General features: G+C 35.6%; 1 protein-coding gene across 4 annotated transcripts in view; it reads right to left on the minus strand.

The window, feature by feature from the left end:
- PDE5A (phosphodiesterase 5A) overlaps positions 1-24060 on the minus strand; it is a 134402-nt gene that overhangs the window by 100470 nt on the left and 9872 nt on the right. For all 4 annotated transcript variants that reach the window (NM_001083.4, NM_033437.4, NM_033430.3 and 1 more), the window contains exons 2-3: positions 11837-12425; positions 1651-1740 (exon numbers count right to left, since the gene is read on the minus strand). In NM_001083.4, the coding sequence (NP_001074.2) occupies positions 1651-1740; positions 11837-12425 (679 nt within the window). The remainder of the gene's footprint in view (positions 1-1650; positions 1741-11836; positions 12426-24060) is intronic.

Below are 24060 nucleotides of genomic sequence, written 5' to 3' on the forward strand. Positions count from 1 at the left end.
CTCAGGTTCTACCCAGACCTACTGAATTCAGAATCTGCATTTTAACAAAATCCCCAGGTGATTCCTATGCACAACACAGTTTTAGAAGCACTGATTTAGAAAGCTGTGTTTTAGGCAAATTTCCAGGCAGTGATATGTAGAATGGACTAAAGGGAAATTGACTGCAAGGATAGAAACACCTTACAAGAACATTTAAAAACCTTAGGCATTACTTCAAAATCTGAATCATGGTGCATGCAGGTAGCACGAATAAAAAGAAAAAAATATTGAAATCAGAAACATTCTAATGAAAAAAATCAATGGGGTTTGGTAACACACTAGATGGAGGAAGGAGAATAAATGTCAGAATTTGAATATAAATCAAGTAGAAGCATCAAGTACTTCTAATATGATTGGCAGTGGTTCTCAACCTTGGCCACACACTGCAGTCATTTGGGAGCTTTAACAAATACTAATACCTGGGTCCCAATCCCTGAGATTCTGATTTAAGGTGAAACCTCGGCATTAGAATTTTTAAATGCTATACCCAGATAACTGGTAAAACATTTCCGCGTGTGTCTGTGAGGGTGTTCCCAGAAGAAATTAGCATTTGAATCAGTAGACTGAGTGAAAAAGATTCTCCCTCACCAATGTAGGTGGGCATCATCCAATCCACTAAGGGCCCAAACAGAACAAAAAGGCAGAGGAAGAGCATATATTGCTCTCTCTTCGGAAGCTGGGACATCCATCTTCTCCCTCCTCTGAGACAACAGAACTTCAAATACTCAGATCCTTGGATTCTAGGACTCACACCAGCAAATCTCCCATTTCTCAGGCCTTCAGCCTCAGACTGAATTACACCACAGGTTTTCCTGTTCTCCAGCTTGAAGATGGCAGACTGTGGGACCTCTTGGTCTCCATAATTGCATGAGCTAATTTCCATAAATAAATCCCCTCATATATCCTCATATATCCTATTGATTCTGTTTCTGTGGAGAACCCCAATTAATACAATTGGTAATCTTTTAGACTTCTCCAGTTGGTTGTAATACACAGTCAGGATTGAGAATGCTCAATTGAAATATTCAGTTTAACTGATAATTTATTAACTCTTTTTTCCAAATAAGTGTAAAATGAAGAGGGAATTCAGTGATAACAGAATCCAAATCTTCTAGTTAGGTGAAATATAAACTAACATATTTTCATTTGCCTGTTAAAATTTCAAATTGAAATTTACATAATTAGAATTAGCTATGATTTCCATTTTTTTCAAAACCTCAATTTGAATGAAATCCGTTAATGACCACTGTAGTTGGATGAGCATTTATGAATACTACTCATACTCCTAAAACATAATATGCAATGAATTGATCCTAATCACAACCATAATTACATATCTTAAGATAGAATAACGCCTTCAGGAAGAGGGGAGGTAGAATATGACATGCATAAAATTTATTTCTAAGTAAATGGGCATAGTAAAGCAATTATCAGAATTAGGCCCTGTAACTAAAAATCTAAATAGAAAAAAAATCAAGCAGAACATTTAAGAACTTTATAGCTAATTTGTCACTAAAGCATTATTTCATATATATGCAAAGTAAATACAAAATATTTTTCAAAAAGAAAAATATTTCCAATGACCTTTTATAAAATGGAAAATTGGCTTACCTCTTCCCTATGATTCTTAATTGGCATACAAAGAATGCTTTGTGTCTTGTAGCCTGTAATTTGGTCAACTTCTGCATTGAACCGAGGATCCTAGTATGGAAAAAGAAATTCAATTTAATGACTGACCTGTTCAAAGATTGATTTGATTTTTCTGATTTATTAGATTAGAGAAATCTAACCTTGGACTTACCTTGTTACTCTGAGTAACAATTTTATTGTTGTGAAAGGCATCATCATGTAAGTACATATTATATTTGACAAAGATAAATTGAAGTTGCTGAGCTTTTTTATAAGCAGCTAGTGTTTAAGAGAAAAAAATACAGACTCGAACAAATGTTCAGAAATAAAGAAAATTCAAAATATTAACCACTTTAGATAGCTGTACTTAAATTCAGGAAAAAGTGGCATCTCTCCACCTCTGTAATATCATCTCACAACCTGATTCTATTGTGCCTCCAGAACAACCTTTTCAATAAATGACTTTACTTCCCTTGTAAGGGCTCTTTTACAGTTCTTCAGTATTCTGTACTTCTATCTCAAGTATTCCTAAGAGTTTAAATTATACACATATATACACAATCTCATTGAGTCAGATTGTAAACAATCCTTTAATCTTTTGAATTTCCCCTTTTACAAGGCACATTATACACACCCAATAATCATAAAGGACTTCTGAGGTGTTAAATTTCTAAGTATGAATTAAAGAAACAAAGGTAAAGTTTAATTTTCCATTACACTTTAGATTGGGAAGATCTCAAATTAGGCTGTAAACTCTGTGAGGGTTTTTTTTTTTTTCTTTTTTTGTTCATTACTGTATTCCTAGCACAGGAACTCAATCAAAAGCATGCGTTAAATCAATGAAGGAATTCATTAACAAATAATACCACGGTTATCAAATGTTATCATTTTTACCTTACCATATAGTTTAAAGCAAATCTTGTCAGTAAAGGGAAAACCAAAGTAGAGGAAATCAATAGCTACAACAACATGAGGTTAGAGTGGAATGGAATCAAGCATTCCAGGACATAAACATCTGAATGAGTGCTGTTCCCTTCAAAGCGATAGCCTTGGGGAGTTACATGCTTAATCTAATAATAGCATCACTGCTCCAAAAACTACGCAGTTGGAATTCCCTTCAGAGAATATGGAATATCCACACTGGAAAAGCTCATCTTTTGATGAGCTTTGAAGGTCATTTCTTTTTAAAAAAATAAAAAATAAATTAGTCACAGTAAAGCTGTGAATGAAGTGATTACACTAGATTCCATCAATTGGGGTCAGAAATGAGGCCAATTTTCAACTGAGAGGGCCCAACTTAGCTTAAAGATAATTTCAAAAGAAAAGGTATAAAATGGTGAAAAATCAATATAAATATTTTATATTATAAACACTACTACATTTTTGCTTTTTCTGCAAACATGCTCAAAGTTATATGAATTGAGATGCAGAGAAAAACTTTAGCTGAATCTTCCTAATAAAATTCTTATTTTATCTTTAGATATTGTCTAAAGAAAGCAGACAAGATAATGTTGATGAATTAAAGAAGTGAAAAATTATTGATATATAGTGAATTATTTTACAAACCAATAAGTAAAACATGAATAAAAATACATCCTCAGTGTTACTTTGTTAATAAACATTTGAATTATGAGACAATTTATAAAGAAGACTTAACCCAACTACCTAATCAAAGCAGTAGAGTTTGACAGATTAAATTTAGTAGGACTTTCACATATTTTTTGTGTCTACTGTTAGTTTAAAATCAACAGCAGTTCTGAATTTCACTCTCCAGTGAAGAGGGTGGGAATAAATACATCCTTCAAATTTCATTTGAGGTGAAGTTCCAAACTCCTGACATCTCAAGGAGTTCTCCTTTAACAATGTACTCAGTGCAAAGACAATATACATAAAGGAGTTCTAACCCCTCTAGGTCCAGTAAACATCAAAGAAAAAAATGGAACACTACAATCATTGTGATTATTCCTTTCACTGTTTGTTTACAAGAACATGACAGTATGAAAGAACACAAGCCTTGGATGTCCACTTGCCATAACAAAGTATCAGGTACCAGAATTCCTTCCTGCTGAAGACATCTATAAGACTAGACAAAATACAAGACAACAAAGCCATGGGCAGAGCAAAGAAAAAGACAACATAAGTAATTGCCATTCAACATTCTGGCTTTCTGCCTGAGGGCGTTTTCCTGCTTTAGAGAAGGCAGGTGCTACCCAATGAGAGCAACGCTTTGAAACAGAATTGAATGGAGCTCCAAACTTCTGAAGTGGTTGGAAAGTATAAAGCACAGGGGCTGTGCTGGGGGGTTGGAAGGAAGATGGTTAGGAAGCAGTGACCAAAAGATACTGAGTTTCTAGTCACTTTGGGCATGTATAGGGCAAAAAACCTAAAGGACTAGCAAAAATTACCTGCTGAAGGCTAAAAACTGAATGTGACACCAATTAGTGAAGTGTTTGGAGACAATGGAGTTCCAGCCCAGCCAGAGTAGAGAATTCATTCAGCAGCGCAGGCATTGAGGCAGGAAAAGACCACTCCTTAGGAGTAAGGACTATACCATATAGTTGGGGGTACTCCCTAAGACTAAATTCAAAAGATCCACTCTGACAAATAATAAGACCAAGCCTGACAGGATCAAAAGAATCTGCCAGTAATTTTACTGCCTGCCCGAACAAATCTCATCCCTTTTTTAAAGGAAGAGGATATAATCCAAATGTAGTGAAACAGACTATGACCAGCAGACAATACAAAATCACCACATATGTAAAGAAACAGGAAAATGAAACCCATAGTAAAGAGAAAAAGTAGTCAATAAAAAATGACCCCAAGATGATTCACATGTTGGACTTCACAGATAAGGACTTTAAAGCAGCTATTAAAAATTAATGTAGGGATTTAAAGAAAAATATAGTAATAACTTCTTTGCAGAGATAGGAATCTCTGCAAGGAAAGAAAAAACTATTAAAATAGTCAAATGAAAATTCTAGAACTGAAAAGTATAGTGTGTAAAACACCAAGTTCATTAATACATTTAACAGCCCACCGAAAACAGCTGAAGAGTCAGTGACTCTGAAGATAAATCAACAGAAAGTATCCATTCAGAAGGATTGAAAGAGAAAACAAACCATAAAACATTAACAAAGTTTCAGTGTCTTTTAGGATACTATCAAGTGTGTATACACACACACACACACACACACACACACACACACACATACATATATTTGGAGTCCCAAAGATAATGAAGCTGAAAAATATTTAAAGACTTATAAAGAAAAATTTCCCAAATTGATGAAAACCTTAAGCTTACACACATGGTGTGAAAATGATATGTAGGGTGAAACATATAAGTTGAAAATGATACAAAGGATGGCTGACCTCTCCCAAGAAAAATGAAGACAAGAAAAAAATGAGAAAACTCTTTTTTAAAATATTGAAAGAAAACTACTATCAACTGATAGTGGTTCATCTATCCAGTGAAAATATCCTTCAAGAATATAGGCAAAATAAAGGCATTTTCAGATAAACTAAAACTGAGAGTATTTGTCAGCACTGTATGTACTATAAGAAGTGCGAAAGGAAATTCTGTAGTCTAAAGAGAAAGATATTAAAATCTAGAAAGAGCTAGAAATGTGGCTTGAGCACATGAGTATATATATATATAAAAAGAGTAAGGAAGCCTAGTCTTTCATTTTTGGAGAATGAAACACCCAATAGAGGAAAAAAAGAAAAATAATGCATCTTTAGTTGTTGGATGAAATTGGAAGTATCAGTATGAATTCAGTTGTTTTTATTATAATAAGTAGATAGATACAGAAATAAATACAATATAGATGTGTATGTATATTTATATGTTATTTTCCTAGCTCTGTCTGCTAATATACCAGCAACAATAAGCACATCTAGTGCCTTAATCTTGGTTTCTTAATACCATTCCCCCCACTAAAAGAAACCAGGGCTCCTTGGGAAAAAAGAATGATTCTAGGGCTAGGGCACGGAAAGTGTAAGATAGGCCTCAAACATTCTGATTAGCCAGAAAGTGAAAAAAATGCCCCAAAATTAATAAGGACATAACAAAAAGGACTCAGCAAATTTGTTATAATTTGAACATCAGCATAAAGATAATAAGAGAACATAATTGACTAAATAAAATATTACACGAGTCCATAATTGATGTGAATGCATGAATGAAGGAGAAGGCAAAACTCTCTCTTACATTAGAATTTCAGCTAATAAATATAAGAGGTATGATGGAGTTAGAAAATCAGTGGATGCTAAAGCTGGTCAATAGGTTGTTGATGAACACAGTATTTACACAGTCTCAAAGTATCTGCCCATATGATACTTATTAATTACAATGGGAAAAACTATTGGAGAAACCTGGTAGATATCACTTTAAAAAAGTTATCAAATTTAACATCATCAATACTTACATCACATAAATATGCCTCCTTATAAGATACACTACGAAGGTGTGTGGTACAATTAAACATGTTTCTGATCTTTGTTCCCAGTTCCTGACACAGACCTCCTAAAGGCCATGGGATTTCTTGAGTGATACTAGTGTATTTCCATATTTGCAACAAGCCCTTTTCAACCATACCCGAATTCACACTAATGAGGTGAGCCCTAGAAGGCTTCAGGATTAGGGGTGGGAACCAGAAAACCCAACCTTGTGATTAGAGGTTTAGAACTTCCAGTCCCACCCCCAACCTCTGGAGAGGGGAGACTGGCTGGAGATTGAATCCACTCACCAATGGCCAATAATGTAATCAATCATACCTACATAATAAAACCTCAATAAAAAGCTGGGAAAAATGAGGTCTAGGGAAGCTTCCAGGGTGGTGAACATATTGATGTGCTGGGATGCTGGCATTCTGGAGAAGGCATAGAAGCTCTGCACACCACCCCACCCCCCGCCACCTCCCATACCTTGTCTTATGCATCTCTTCCATTTGGCTGCTCCTGAGTTGTATGTAACCTTTTTAATAAAACTGTAATCATAAGTGTAGTGCTTTCTTGAGTTCCGTGGGTCATTCTATCTAATTACTGAACCTAAGCGGGGGTCACTAGAATCCTTGAATTGGTAGTCAGCCTGGAAGAAGTGTGGTAGCCTAGGGATCCCACTTGCAGCTGACGTCTGAAGTCGGGGCAGGCTTGTGGGATTGAGCCCTTAACATGTAGGGTCAGTGCTAACTCCATGAGGTTAAGAATCAGAACTGAATTGGGTTGAACTGGGTTGCAGTGTCAAAGAACTGGAAAATTAAATAGTCGTTGCTTAGTTAAGGTGTCAGCATTAACATATATGGTATTCCAGCTAAAAGGGCCTAGCTTGAATCTATTTGTGAAGGACATTCTACAAAATAACAGGCCTGTACCCTTTAACAATGTCTAAATTTAAAAAGATAAAGAAATGCTGAGAAACTGTTTCAGATGGAGGGGAGACTAAACAGACATTACAACTATGTGCAATATGGGATCCTGAATACTATCTTGGATTGGGGGAAAATAACTCTAAAGCTTATTAATAGGATGGGACAACTGATGAAATTTTGACTATGGACTGTTAATAGTCTTGTATCAGATTAGATAATAGTATTCTATCAATATAAAATTTCCTGATTTTGATAATTTTATTATGGCTGGGCAAGAGAATATTCTTATTAGAAAATATACACTGAACTATTTAGTAAAAACATATCTTTAGCTTATTAAATCTTTCAGAAATAATAAGCATATATTCCTTATATGCATTATAGAGTGAAAAAGAGGAAACGATAAAGCAAATGGGGCAAAAAAATAACTGGAGAATCTGGGTAAAGGGTGTATGGCAGTTTCTTATACTGGTCTTGCAATTTTTCTGTGAGTTTAAAATTATATCAAAATAAAAATAACAGAAAATTTTAAAAAGGAAACAACACAGATGACTTGACAAATTATAAGGCTGGTTTTCTTCCACAGAGTGGAATTTTTAAGACAATGCCTGAAACATTGAACAAGCATAGACACAGCAGTTCCCAAACTGTGTTCCCAGGGGCACAGTTACACTTCTATTAGGAGATTTGTCTAAATTACAACAATTGCTAGGGGTTTTCTTTTTCTTCTAAAATTCATCTGGAAATAATCATCTGAAATTCAGTTGAAACAATTCGTATTTCTTTAGAAAAATATATTGATAAATAGTTGAAATAGAAAGTAAGAAACTGCATGGTGAAAGAAGGTGAAAATTTGTTTCTCTGGAGAAATAAAAATGAAAGGGAAAGATGAAGTGGGGAAGGAAGGAATAATAGCTACATGGTCAAGGCCACATAAGTGGCAATTTGACCCTTCCCTAAGACCCTCTAAGTTTTCTCTCTAGAAATCATGGTTCACATGGAGTGTCTGTCCTGGAGTAGAAACAGGACATGAGTCTGAGTTTTGCACTCTAATTGACTTGGGAGAAGGAGAGATGTTTTGACAATGTAAATCCTTAAGACATATGAATCATGGGAAGGTTTAAGACTTCCTCAGGACATGGAATGGGGTTCAGGGCAATCCTGTGTAGTTATTGGATGTTATCTGGTTTTCCTATAAAAGGAAAATACCAAGCACATTTATATAGTAGTTCTGATTATATATCTTACTATTAATAGCTTCTTAGTATAAGTGTTAATATCTTATTAATAAATGTGTTAATATCTTCTTGTTATTCATAAATGCCGTGCCAAGCCGGCTGCAGTGGCATGCACCTGTGGTCCCACCTACTCAGGACCATAGCCACTTCTCGTGCAGTTGAAGTGAGTGGATCAGCTAATCCAGGACTCCAACCTGAGCAACACAGTGAGACTCTGGCTTAAAATAAATACATACATACATACATACATACATACATACATACATGGTGTGGCACATTGAAGGTAGTTGCATGATGGTGGGCTGATGCATGAGACCGTGTGTGACTGAACATCAATGTACAGGTAGCATTTACCAACTAATCTTTTCATTGGTATTTATGGGTCTACATGAGAATCACTGGTCTGAGTAGTGGATCCTGTCTTGTATTTTGAATATACGAATATGTTTTCTTATCAGTAATAAAACTATAGAATTTTCAAATTTATATCAGTTTATATCATTTTCTGTTACAAAGTTTTAAAAGTGAACTAAATATAGGTCATTTGTTATAATTAACTTTATGAGACTTTAAAAAAAATTCTCAGCATCAATCTGAGTATTATTCTGTTTCACAGACACCTCTCTTGGTTTCCCACAGTGACATTACATCCTTTAAAGTGGTCTACGATCAAATAAGCTTAAGAAACACTGCCATACAGTGTCATTTTTACAGATGCATGTTTAAAGAGCTAGGACTCAGAAAACATTAGAATATATTTTCATATCCTGACTACTTTCAAAAAACATAGTATTTTAATTATTCAAATTATGGATGGTGCTTAGTAATGAATTATCCATTAGCCAACTGACTTCCACTGCTAATATCAATATAAATTAGATCACAATGTAAATTAGATCACAGATCAACCCCCACAAGTTCTAATGAAATTCTTGGGACATGAAATAACTCCTGCAAGGCTACTATAAATACAGATCAAGGGTACCAAATGTGAAGTAGCAACATGACAAATCCACAGGCTAAGAGGCATCACCCTGGGAGCAGTGCAAATCAAGGACACTAGCTGTTTTAAACAATAGTACAAGAATTAAATCATTATCAAATGCAAAACAGAAAATACATTGTCAAAACTTTGAAGATGGTAGGCAGATTAAATAAAACACATATAAGTGAAGAATTCTCAGGGCTGGAGACACTTAGGACCATGAAGACAAATAAAGACTTTCTCAACAAAGCTAGAGAATATTTATGATCCTACTGTACTCTTGGGACCATAGTGCCATTGAAAAGTGGATACCCAGCTGTCACTTAAGACAGGAAGGGGATTCTGCAAACTTGGCAGCAATCCTTCAGCTGTGTCCTTAATACCCCTCTTGGAATCTGCTACAGTGTGAAGTTATTACAGAGCTCAAAGAGGTCATAGAGATACTCTATGAAGACCAGTAAATTTTTCCAAGAGAATCAAAATTGAACACATTGCTTATATAGAATGGATTCTGAAAAAACATTTCAGGACTTAACCTAGATGAAGTATCACACCCCAAATCCCGGCCCTCGGTATTACTCACTAGTAGTACCATTATTCATTTACCCAGCTTCAAAACCTGGGTCATCTTCAACTCCTCTTTTCCCTTCACTTGCATCTCCTGTTAGCTGCCAAGTTCAGCAGATTCTATTAGGTTGGTGCAAAAGTAATCGCAGTTTTTGCCATTAAAAGTAATGACAATTACTTTTGCACCAACCTAATACTTCTTCATCCGAAATCCATTCCCTCCTTTTGATCTTTAAGGCCAAGGTCCTTGTTAAGGTCCTTACTTCCTCATACTTACTTAGACTATTAAGATAATCTTCTATCCTCCCAACTTGTAGCATTTTCCCCTCTAATTCATTTTATGACTACTGTAAAATTAATCCTTCCAAAGCACAATTTAAATCATACTGGTTCCCCTTTCAAAACATCTTCAGTTACTCCTCATGTTTCTAAACCAAATATATATTCCTCAGCCTGGCATTCAAGACCTCTAATTTCCTGGCTGTGCTCCCACAGCTCCTTCATGTCCAGATTCTTATCCACACACTTACATGGTCCTACTTGCCTATCTCTTCTAACTTCTCTTTACCTCTGGATCTCACCATGCACAAATCTCAATTTATTCAATTTATTCAAATTTTCCGGGATCTGTACCAGACATTGCTCCCTCAAAGAAATCTTCCTCTGGCCAGGCATGGTGGCTCATGCCTGTAATCCCAGCACTTTGGGAGGCTGAGACAGGAGGATCATCTGAGGTCAGGAGTTCAAGACCAGCCTGGCCAACATGGTGAAACTCCGTCTCTACTAAAAATACAAAAATTAGCCAGATGTGGTGGCGGGTACCTGTAATCCCAGCTACTCGGGAGGCTGAGGCAGGAGAATCACTTGAATCTGGGAGGCAAAGGTTGCAGTGAGTCGAGATCGCGTTACTGCACTCCAGCCTGGATAGCAAAGTGAGACTCCATCTCAAAAAAAAAAAGAAATTTTCTCTATCTTTCCCACTAGATGTCCTATCCTGCTTCTCTGAAGCTTATCACATTTTTCTTGGCATCTGTTAATGACCTGCTCTCTATGCTATTTATCTATTGCATGTACTATTATTTTAATTCAACCAATATTTACTAAGCCCTATGTGCCAGGCACTATAAGGCACCAGGAACACAATAAAACAGCTATGACTCTCTGAATTAAATGAACTAAGCCAGAATTACCACTGAATCTTTATAGTGTACCACACAGTAGAAAGCTAGAACAATTGTTCTATCAAGATGCTGTAAGATACCTCATAAACATATAAAGTGCCATTCAGTTAAGATGCTTGGTTTTAAAACTAAAATTCCATTAATAAAAAGGATTATTTTAAATGGGAAATTTGAAGAATCTTACAGTGTAACCTTTAAGCCCTTAATTAAAGACTTGTGCATAGGTATAGCAAAAGTAGAAGAAATAACAAATCTTTCCATTGAAAACTTTTAGAGCAAAAATTTCCATTTTTTTGAAGACATCTGTAAGTTTATCTGTTTAAAAAATGAAAGAGAGGATAGAAAGAAAGAAAACCAGACTTTGGTATCAATGGGACTTTGAATGAATATGATTAATTGAATGAATGAATGAAAAGAGACTATGAGTTTTTTTTTGTTTTTGCACCTATCATTTTAGAATCTCAGTAAAATCCTAAGAGGTTCATGTGGGGATAACATAGATGGGGATATGTATAGTGATCAGATAAAAAGATGGGAGAATATAACCATGAGATGAGCTATATTAAATTATCATTAAGGAGAAAAACAAGATGAGATTTCCTTAAGGCTCATATCCTCAACTGAACCACCAGGAAAGAAACTCTGGCATTTAAAGATGGGAAAATTCTTAGCATACATTCCAGTTTTAAATAAGTATGCAAATTATTACATCTCAGTTTCAAATATCCCCACCATTCATGATTGCTATCCAATGCCCCAGCCATAGTACCCGCCCCAGCCATAGTCCCCTCCCCAGCACTGGTCCTGCTCTCATGCTCCCCTGTTTACCTCATATGCATCTTTGATGTTCAAGGGCTCACCAAGCGCTGCCACATGTCCCACAATGCCTTTGTTCCATTCTAAGCGGATACAGTTATTTGAAACTTCTTCCAGTGTTGAACCTTCAGCAACATCAAAGAGGCGGCTGATAAGAAACTTGTCATTGGAGCTGTCTTCACAGACAAGGAACAGGGAATAGCGGTCAGCAGATATCAGTCCATGGATATGCAAGAAAATTTTGTGACATAAGGCTGTGACATCCAAATGACTAGAAATATCCTTCACTAATTCCAAGAGTCTTGAGCACTGGTCCCCTTCATCATGATCAAACCTTGGAGGGGTTAGAGGCATCTGTTCCTTCTTTTCTGAGTCAGAGAGGAAGCTCACAGTTCCCTCAGAATCCTTGACAACAATGGGTCTAAGAGGCCGGTCAAATTCAGAGGCAGAGATTTTCCTGGTTGGTGTTCCAGGGGCACTGTTATCTGCACGAGGACTCTGCTGCAAGGGACAAGAGCAAGATTCGGTGTGGCCTCTGATACCTTCCTTGCACACAGGGATGGTGTGAACTCTCTCAGCAAACCATGCATTGACCATTTCTCTGCAGAACAGAACGTGCAGACACATTAGATACTTGAAGAGGAAGGGTGCTATGCCTGAGAGCTCCTAAACATCTTCTCATGGTAAACTGATGAGATAATAATTTGATATGTTATAGAAAATAAAAACAAGATGGTTTACTTAAGACATATGATTTTGGCCAGGCACAGTGGTTCACACCTGTAATTCCACCACCTTGGGAGGCTGAGGTGGGAGGACTGCATGAGGCCAGGAGTTGGAGACCAACCTGGGAAACCTAGTGAGACCCTGTCTCTAGGAAAAATTAAAAAATTAGCTGGGCATGATAGCATGTGCCTATGATCCTAACTACTGGGGAGACTGAGGCAGGAGGGTTGCTTGAGCCCAGGAGTTCGAGGCTGTAGTGAGGTATGATGACACCACTGCACCACTGCACTTCAGCCTGGGTGACAAAGTGAGACTCTCTCAAAAAAAAAAGACAATTTTATTTTGGAAAACAATAGAGGACAATTGCTTTAATGAACATCTTAATAAAGGCTGACTTCTATATACATAACTTTATATATCTGATTGCAGCATACCAAGCATAAAGTCTGCTTCTCTCAAAATTAGCTTATATTAAAAAGTAAAAGACACTAAATTTGCCAATAGTTTTAGGAAAATATAAATATGCACATTAATTTGATGTTTAAAACACATAACTTGTTCTGAAGTTAAATATTTGAAAACTAAAACAAATATTTGTCTAAATTTGGCTTGCTACTATGCCTATTTTAGATAGTTATATCTATATTGCAAAAGTAGATAAGTTTAGAAGGATTAATGAAAGAAACAAATAATTTAATCTTGTATAGAAAAATCAGACTTCTGTAAATATTATCCCAATAATGTTTGTTTAATAATGGTAAAAAAGATCTATTTTTCTAGATTATCTATGACTATTTTAAAGTAGGCTTTATCTAAGTTTAAAACTGCAGTCCAAGAAAACTGAAGGCATTTATGTTTTTAATGTACCCTACTATGAAAGAAACTCATTTGAGCTAAAGCCATCACAGTAGGTGACTTTTTAAAACAAACATACCAGATCATACACAATCCAAAGCATGTTGTTCAATTCAAATAATTCCCCTTAGAACGCTGTAGTCTTACACCAGTTAATGGTGTCATTACTCTAGACATTTTTGGAACTCTTCTTTTGAAACAAACTTCTGAAACAATTTATAATCCAAATAAAAATACTAATTTTATCTAAAAATTAGACCTTGTTTCTCACTAACTCCTCCTCCCAAAATGAACAAATAAAACAAAAACAAAAAAACCTATGGTAACAGCTAACTTAATTCTCTATCTTCTGATAAGACATGACGCTTTAGAAAACTCAAACTTACCTTCAAAAGATAAAAAGTTGCTATAACTGAGGATATTTCAAATAATTTGCCTATACAAAAAGCAATGTAATCTCAAATCTACAATGACATAATTGACTGTTTATACCAAACAAAAGTCCAGGATAAACAAGTTTGACAATGTACTATTTTGGAGATAGTATAGGGATGTAGTCACTCTCCAAAGTTTTTGGTTGTAGTAACAATTGATATTACTTAGGCCAGGCGCGGTGGCTCACGCCTGTAATCCCAGCACTTTGGGAGGCCGAGGCGGGCGGATCATGAGGTCAGGAAATCGAGACCATCCTGGCTACATGGTGAAACCCCGTCTCTACTAAAAATACAAAAAAAATTAGCCGGGCTTGGTGGCGGGCGCCTGTAGTCCCAGCTACTTGGGAGGCTGAGGCAGGAGAATGGCCTGAACCCAGGAGGCTGAGCTTGGAGTGAGCTGAGATCGCGCCATTGCACTCCAGCCTGGGCTACAGTTCGAGACTCCGTCTCAAAAAAAAAAATAAAAAAAAATAGGCAATATCTAACAAATTTTAAATGTATGTATCCTTTGTTCCAGAGATTTTACACATGTGACAAAGGAAATACAAGGGTATTTACTGTATATAGTAAGTACGTTTGCTACAGCAGATAAGAAGCAAACTAATATCACCAATAGAAGGCTGACTAAATACATCATGGCACACTTATACAAGAGAACACTAGGCAGACATTAAAACATAATTATATGTACTGATATGTATGATATGAATTAATTAAGTGAAAACAGAAGATGTAAAAGAGTTTGAAAAGAACACACTGTCTTATTTCTGAGTCTTTACTAAGTCTTTCATTTATGGGATGTTCCCCTAATTATTTCATTTTGAACAATGATGTATTATTTGTTAAATATACATTACTCTGAAATGATACCCCATCTAGAATGTAATCGGTCAAAATGAAAAGATAAAAATATTACCCCCCTTATAATTTCAAGAGTTGAATACAGTTATAAAAGTCTCCAAAAAGTTTAGGAGAAATAAGTTCAAGAGATCCATTGTAAATATGGTGACTATAGTTAATAATAATGTATTGTATATTTAAAAATTGCTGAAAGAGATTTTAAGGGTTCTCACCACAAAAAACGATAAGTATGAGGCAATGCATATGTAAACTACCTTGACTTAGCCATTCCACAATGTATACATACATCAAAGCATCATGCTGTACACCTTAAATACATAAAATTCTTGTCAATTAAAAAATAAATTTAAAAATATCCAATGAGTAATTTAAAGGAAAACAACCTCACTGGCCTTATGAATTGACTGACTTTCTAATAAAGAGGTATTACAAATTTGAAGAAGCACAAAAGCAATGTGGTAGGTAAGTGTATTGTACAAATCACAAGCATATACCTACACAGATTTTTAAAAACATATAATTGTCCTAATGTTTCATAGATGCATGCTGTGACTTAGGACAAAATTTCCGGTGAAGACAACATACATTAATTAAAATAATTCAGTATCTGAAAACCTTAGAAGTGAAGGTGACACACTCTGGGATTTGCTTATGTAGCCCCCAGAATTGCACTAATAGTGCCAAAGACACTGATGCTAAAAATGCATGTGAAGCTGCCAACAGTGCATAGGAAGCTTTCAAATAAAACTGTTTGGAAAAGATAAGACAGGAAAAAAGCAATATGTCTAAGTTAACATATCTGATGTGATTTTAAATATGGACATGTTACTAAACTGTTAAATCATATAAAAATAGACATTTTAACAATTTCAGCCACAAACCCAAAACTTAGCCCCAACTTATTTCTTATCTTCTCAACGGGAAATGGAGATCTCCTTTTGAATTTTAAATTAAACTGCCTACTTGACAACTCCACGTGGATATCTAGACCACTTAAAATGGTGAAAACAGAATTCCTAAGACCCTACCCATCTCACCTTGCCTCATCTTACTTCCTGCCAGTTTTCCCACATATGGAGTACCATCACCTCCACAGTTACTCAAACCAAACACGTAGGAATTACTCTAAATTTCTGTTTCCTTCAACTCTCACATTCAGTTGCGCAGTCAAGTTCTGTCAACCTGACTTCCAAAATCCTATATCCCAATCTGCTTATTTCTATCTCCATTACTACCACCCTGGTCCAAACCCCACTATCTCTCAGTTGGATTGTTGCCATAGTCCCCTAATTAATCTCTCTGATCCTATACTTACCCCCTTGCAATCCCATTCTCCACACAGCAGCCACAGTAAATTTTCAGCAAAGTATGTCAACATCTTAGCTACCCTACTTGGCTTTTCATTGAACTGAGAATAAAACCTGAGCTCTTGTAATCCCCTACAAATAGGTTCCTCTCGCCCATGCCAGCATCCTTGGCGCTCCTGAAGCACACCAAGCACTAACTGCCCTGTCTGGGATGCTCTCCCCTCATTGGCACATGGCTGATCCACTTCCACATCCCCTGCTCAAACAAGTCATCTCTGACTGCTCCACCTAAAGTGGTCCTGACACATCATGTTCTTATCCTACATAATTTAAATTCTCACTATCTGCTATTTTTCTTGTTTATCAATCTGTTGTTATATCATCTATCCCCTCTGACTAGATATTTCATTAGTGCTACGTGTTCACTGCTGCATCTCCTGTACTTAGATTAATGCTTACCACATACAGTAGTAGGTCCTCAAAATATTTCTTGAAGTAAATGAATAAATAAATGAAGCCTCCTGAAGCATCAAAAGGTACAACAGTCTTTTGAATATCTAAATGCTGGTGTGTTTATTACAGAAAATCAACGTTGTGTTTTAGCGATTACTGTTCATCACCCCTTGGATGTGTAAGTCTCACAACTGACCGTGACTAATTTATGCTTGTATACTTGCAGTGCCTGGTGCAGCATATGTCTTAAGCAGAGCCAGTGCCTAAAAGTTCTACATTATGTGTTTGTGATTACTCTATTTGTCTCATAAATGTTGCTTACGGATATTTTCTTAGAGACATTAACTCAATATTAAATGACATAGGAAAAGCAGATGTAGCATATTCAGTCAGTCAATCAACAATCCGTATTAACCACCAGTGGTAGGGAAAGAGAGTTCTCATGACTACATTATTGATTATCTGAGTCCCTGTAATTACATACTTGCAGAGGAAAACATGTTATCATAACATCAAAATCACTGATGAACCAACCACAAATAAAATTAAATCATTTCTCACACATCTTTCCCTTTGAGCATTCCTTGGAGTTCTGCAGTGCACAATCTATATGGCCAAATGAAGTGGGCCTTTGCCCTTAAGACTAATATCTATACTCCGCTGATTTTTAAAAAATACTTCAGTCTGTATGCAAATACAAATCACCTGCAAATTGAAATTAAAATTCTTATATAAGACATATGCTATGGTCTAAAATGTATGTCCCTACAAAATTCTTCTCTTGAACCCTAACCCCGAAGGTGATAGTATTAGGAGGTGGGGCCTTTGGGAGGGTTCTGCCCTCATAAATAGGATTAGTGCCTGATGTAGTTTGGATGTCCCCTCAAAATCTCATGTTGAAATGTAATCCCCAGTGTTGAAGGTGGGGCTTAGTGAGAGGTAATTGGATTATGGGGGCAGATCCCTCATGAATGGCTTCACACCATCCCCTTCATGATGAGTGAGTTCATGGCCTTGTTTAAAAGTTGTTTGTTTAAAAGTACATGGTACCTCCCACCATCCCGTCCTTGTTCTCATTCTTGCTCCTGCTCTTGCTATAACTTTCTCACCATATGATATGCAGGTTTCCACTTCACTTTCCATATGACTGAAAGCTTCCTGAGGCCTCCCCAGAAGCTGGGCAGATGCCAACACCATGCTTCCTGTAAAGCCTGCAGAATCATAAGCCAATTAAACCTCTTTTCTTTATAAATTACCCAGCCTTGGGTATTTCTTTAAATCAATGGAAGAACAACCTATTAGAGGGCCCTTATAAGGGGCCTATGGGAGCTTGTTAACTCCTTTTGCCCTCCTGTGAGGACACATAAAAGTTGACATCTATGAGGAAGAAGCCTCCACCAGAATCTGCTGGTGCCTTGATCTTGGACTTCCCAGCATCTGAAACTGTGAGCAACAAATTTGTGTTTATAAATTATCCAGTCTAAGCTATTTGTTATAGCAGCCAGCATGGACTAAGACAATATAGATTTTCTAGACATAGACTAAAGTGATGTTGGAGAATCCTTCTACTATTACACAAAGCCACTGACAATTAAGAGTTATGCCCAATTAAAGACCAGTTAACAATTGAAGAAACAATCAATAAGGATAATGACATAGCAGATACTCACAAAGAGAATATTAGTCAAATAATTATATTCTGAATTAAGAAAGCCCCTTGGGCAAAGCTGATGAAGCCTTCAAATATTAATTCAAAAAACTAGTTTAGGGAGAAAATTATCTTTATGACCCTGCTGCAAAAGCCAAACATGAACTGAAGATAATTGTTTATGGCTACACTCTGTTACAATTTATTTAACAGAGTTAGCAGAGTTTCATCCTAAGAATTAGCAGAGTGTCATTACAATCTCAATTTTATTATTAATAGCTCAAATATAAACTTATTTTCATAATCTGTGGTTCTATTTTTCAAGATAAAGCTCCAACCAAAACCTTCTCATGAACTTTTTTCTATTTTGATAGAATTAACTTTAATTGTCTTTTTTTTTCTGGAACGAATTATTCCCATAAGACAGAGATTTCCACAAGGTACTATATTGGGCACCAGGGACAGAATAATGAGCAACTCCAGAAAAATTATCATGATCTTTCCTTTCAAACTTAAAAGTTTATATTGTGTTCAGAAGTTATATACATATTGGATGTTTCTGGCATATGAAGTTAGGTAAATGTACACAAATAAGTAACGGAAAAGATGATTGTGAACATGTCCAATATAAAAGTAGAAAGCAACGGATGGAAATCCAGAAACCTCAGTAGTAGTTCTGACTGGGTAATCACTTCGATGGTCTAGGATAGGACCTCTATTTTCCTTTCCCTTTATTAATTCTAGGGGGTTTTGAAAAATATTCACATTAGTGCTACTGAAAAAAAAACCATAATTTTATTTAAACCTGGTGAGGCAGGCATTAATGGTCCTACTTTCTAAAATATGAAGCTAATTAAATGTCTGAACCACACCCATTCTACTATTTGGTGGCAACACCAGGAATCAAATCCAGGTTTCCTATTCCAGGTACTATACCCTATTAAGAATATAAAAGTTCCCAGAGCATCAGTGCTTGCCATGAAGAAGGCACTCCGTAACATCTAGCTGAATCTAGAAGTAAAAATCAAATTCAAGCAGAGAAGGCATAGAGAAAGATGACTTACGACACATGTTCAAATGAAATCCTTTACCTCCAGGTCATAAAAGGACCACACACTGTTTTCTTAAGGTAAAAACACTATTTCTAAGGACTCAGGGAACAAAGATTCTTAAGGATAGTGTCCATAAAAAAAAAATCTAACTAAATTCCAACATATCTATGTTTCTCTGAAAACAGGTCACATTTTATAAGTCTAAAGCAATGTACTGAAAAGAAGTATAATAAATGTGTTCGAGAAAAAGTCATCCCCAGAGTTGCTAGATTTAGCAAATAAAAAAGACAACCTGCTAAAAATGAGTTTCAGATAAATAATGAATAAGTTTTCAGTATAAGTAGTATCTGAAATTCAAGATGAACTGGCTGTCCTGTATTTGATCTGGCCACTCCAGTCATTCTACATAGCTTTTCCTAACTGAAATTGTTGGCGGATAGGCAACAAAGAGAAGGCAGGTTCTATGCAGCATACTAGTAAGTTCCAGGCTATCAAATCGCTCATTTTATCATTGAGAGCGCACAAAGGACTACCACAAAGTAATCCTGTGTATGATAATTGAACCTTTTGAAAGCACTTGGATTCATAACTTGCAATAAAACTAGAGCATAAAATATCTCCTTAAATCAAGTTCATTCATTTTGCTCTAAAACCATCCCACATAATGTATTGCATAGGGACAAAACAAACTGCAAACTACTTATAAAAGGGAGATTTACTAATTGACAAAAATTCTTGGGATTACAAAGCATTGAGAGGCTGCACTTTCAGCCATGAGTCCTGGGTTCTAATCTCAGCATTTGTTACTAATAGGATGTGTGACTAGCACTAAGCAATTTTCTTCCCCTGAGTTTCCATTTTATCCCTGATAAAACAAGAAAAATAGCACCAGTTCTGGCCTTTTATGAAGTGTAAGGTGCTGACTGTCTTCAGCAGAGTATAAAGTCAGGAATATTAGACTAACAATCAGGTGATAATTCTAGTTCCAGCTACAACACTACATGGATCTGATGCTAAAACAATTACAACTTCTCTGGAGTTCATTTTCACTGGAGTTTGAGATCTTCAGTGGTAAAAATGGGCTGCTGTATTAACAGGCTATTAAGACTCCCCACCACAGTTTGCAGTATGAATAGGACAAGAAGTGGTCCTTGGGTCTGTCAACTTAACTTCTTTTTGCCCTTCAACTTCCTCATTTTTAAATAGGGGAAAAGTCTTCTGGCTCCTTCACTCACTGCACAGGGTTGATGTGTGAGTCAAATTAGAAAATGCACATGGAAGCATTTCAAGATCTCTTCAACATATCTAAGAATTTGCTATCTCTTACACCCTTAGTACTCATTCCAATGAAGACAAAGGGCTGGGTTAAGGAGCAATGGCTGTTATTTCCTCAAAAAGGTCAGCCAAGAGAATCAGAAAAAGGATGAGAGTAAAAAGGTTGTTTTTGGTGATACAAGCCCACAGGTTGAGGGGCCCTAACTGGGTTGGGATATAGGCCAGCAACATGCACCATGAACACTCAAAAGTCCTTGGCCAAAGCAAATACTTCAGAATGGCATTCTTGACAGACTCCTACTAAGTTCAAAAAAAAAAAAAGAAAAAAAAAAGAGAACAGTTTAAATTACATCATAGCCATCTGAGCAAAAACAACAAAACAGAAACAAATTCCATTGAAGCATCTGTAGCTTTTACCACAAGTACTAATAATCTGGACTCTCCACTTTCATGTATAAGTGTATCTTTGCTAACTGCCCTGCAAACCTGGAAGCAATCAGAAGAAAGCCTAGCTGCCCTCTTGAAGTCTTTCAGTTAACTTTTACAAAGCTATTAATGAAAGACAACAGGCCCTCCACACTTCAAAGAAAGCCACAGCCATGGAAAATGCAATGAACATTGAAGCCAATAATTTATAGTCAATGATAAGAGCCTGAGTTTTACATCACATCCATATCTTCCTCTCTTCTCACCAAAATCTTTTATTATCCTCCAATCACTTATTTCCTACATATTTTATTACACAAAAAATTCTTACCCATAAATGAGTTGTATTACATACCCTTTTAACAAGAGTGAATTTAGTTTTGCTTTTAAACTTTTACAACACATCCTGAGATACGAAGAAACCCTGGTGGGCACCCCAAAATCACCGTTGGAAGTTATTCCTTTCAGATAACACTAATGTCGATATAACCTGTTATTTCAAACTTGCATATTCCACAGATGATACTTAAGGCTCACGAAGATATCCTTTTCCATACGGAGCAAGCAAAGAACCCCAAAATTCATATTAATTAGATGGTAGGACATAAAACCAAATGGAAGTTGCCTAAAACCTTTTGAGCTCTTGTCATAAATGTGACTCAAATCTTACTCTCGAAACTCTTTACACAATGAATCAAATCAGAAGTTTATTATCCAGATATTCTACTTTACAGAAGACTCTTGCAGCTCAAACTGCTTATAAAATAATGATTTAATATAAAAATCAGTGTCATTAAGCATAATGTTTAACACATTTTGATTTCATGAAGCTAACAGCACCGCACCTGTCAAGAGGATGATGTTATTGTGTGAGTAGAGCACCCAGCAAAACTAATGAGCATGTGCACTACCCTGGTTCCAGCAGCTGCTGCAGGAAAAGGCGAAAGTTGACAGACATTTTGTGTCTTTAGTAATACAAAGGGATGAACAAATTCATTCGTGAATGATAAAAAAAAAAAAGGAATTCTGGAGGTTAGGAAGCTTAGAAGGTGAATGGTTATCAACTTTTACAATAGTTTTAACAAAGAGTTTATTTTATCAAAATTACACACGGCAAAAATACAATGCTATTTCATTTTACACATACTATGTGCTCATATTTTGTAACTAAATGAAAAGTGTGGCACTCTTAAAATGATGGACTCAATTAAGTTAATGATTAAATTAAATAGTGCCAAGTTAGTATTGTAATACATTTTTATGGATATTTAAATAGATTTGTATTGCATATTGGGTACACTTCATCTCATAGTCTCTAAAAAGTTTATAAATTGATTAATAATATTCATTGAAAAAAATGAAATGTAACTGTATGGCATATAATCTGGGAAGAATCAAAACCTTCCCCCCTTTCCAATTTATCGCTTCCACTCAAGATTGTTATAAACCTATCACAAAATAGAAAACTACACCTTATGTTTTGGGTTTTTAGAAATTTTCCACTAATCTACACAAGTCACGGCTTCTTCCAAATGCCCTCTATCTAGAAGTATTAAATAGGACTACAAAACTTGTTGACAGGATGCAGGGATGCAAGCCCTGGAACTGCATTTCAAATATAATTAGCTAAAGGGACACACACACACACACGCACACACGTGTCTGTGTCCGAAGGGTCTCCCTGTGGCAATAACTTTACTTTCTACCAAAGTGGAACTGCTCACTCACATTACAAAATGAATCTTGAAAAAGACAGAAAGGCTTTAAAATACATATTCAATATTCCAGATGTCTTGAAATGGAAAATTAATTAAAATATTTTATAAGGTTTATAGAATATTTCTTGGCTTCTAGAAAAGTAAGGAAAAGAGAAGAAAAATTGACAAGGCAAAGTAAACTTTTGATATAAACATAATAACCCTCACGAGTTAAAAGTATAACTAGGTGAAACCTACTCGTAGAGCAACTAGTTTAATACGTTTTGCACTCTGGCCTAAAATAATGTATCAAAGGATAAAAATCCTTTGAAAATATACTGTACTAGGGTATTTGTGTTCTAATGCTAAAAAGATAATTATAATGGCCTAGTACCGAAATTTTCAACCACTCTATTTTAAAATGTCATTTGAGATTTCCCAATTTTTATACTCTGAAATTATATATGGAAACTAAACTCACTTGGGCAGTCTTTAGGCACATCATTAAGTAATGTGCTTCCACAGAAAGAGGCCGTAGAAGAAAATGTTAACCTCTTCCTGAGTTAGAAACCTCATGACATTAAATCTATGAGCCTTTGCTTTGCTTGCATTAATATTGACACTGACTTTCAGTATAGCACAGTGATTAAGGGCCCTAGATGAGACAGACTTAGGCTTTAACCCCAGAATCACCTCTTTCTAAGAATATGACCTTAGGTACATTATTTACTCTCTTTGTAAAATGGAGATCATGATAAAAGTAAAGGAAATGATGCTGGAGTCAGATACACAGTGTTTCATTCATGATAGTTATTGTTTTTAAGTTAACTGAATATTAAGTGGAGTATATTTTTTAAACTGATTAAGTTTTTGGTTTTTTTAAATAAAGAAAAATTATTTAATGGATTTATACAGCAGAATAAGTAGATGTTGGCTCTTGCTTCTTCCTAAGCCCCTAATTTAAAAACAATAACTTCTCTACAGAGGTATTTCATATTAAAATAAAAGAGAGAGGGCTGTTTTCATGTATTTTTTCAAATTACAATTTAAAAAATGGACTCCTCAGACTAATATCTACACTTACATATAACAAAATTTTCTGAATTTCATATTAAGATTAGGTGATAAACATTTAACTGAAAAAAATAAATGCAAGAATATAATTTGTTTTTTTCAGTACTACTTAGAGACTTTTTTTTTGTCAAAAATAAGTTATAGATTTGGGGACTATTTTTTCCCAAAATATAAAAGTTAAAACTGTTTGACAACAAATGTAAAAAAAATACAATAATTACCTATGATGAACACCATAGCAATACTTCATAATTCTAAACTGGAGCACAGTTTTAATATCTGATAAAACAACGCTTTAACACTCTGCTATAGGTAATTTATGGATTAAATTGGCTGTTTTAGTTCTTATCCATGGGTACTTACTTGGGTAAATCCTAAAAGTAGGGTGATACCAATCCTTGGACCTCAAAAATGTCCATATAGCAAGT

This window comes from Homo sapiens, chromosome 4 (assembly GCF_000001405.40).
Source record: "Homo sapiens chromosome 4, GRCh38.p14 Primary Assembly".
Taxonomy (NCBI): domain Eukaryota; kingdom Metazoa; phylum Chordata; class Mammalia; order Primates; family Hominidae; genus Homo; species Homo sapiens.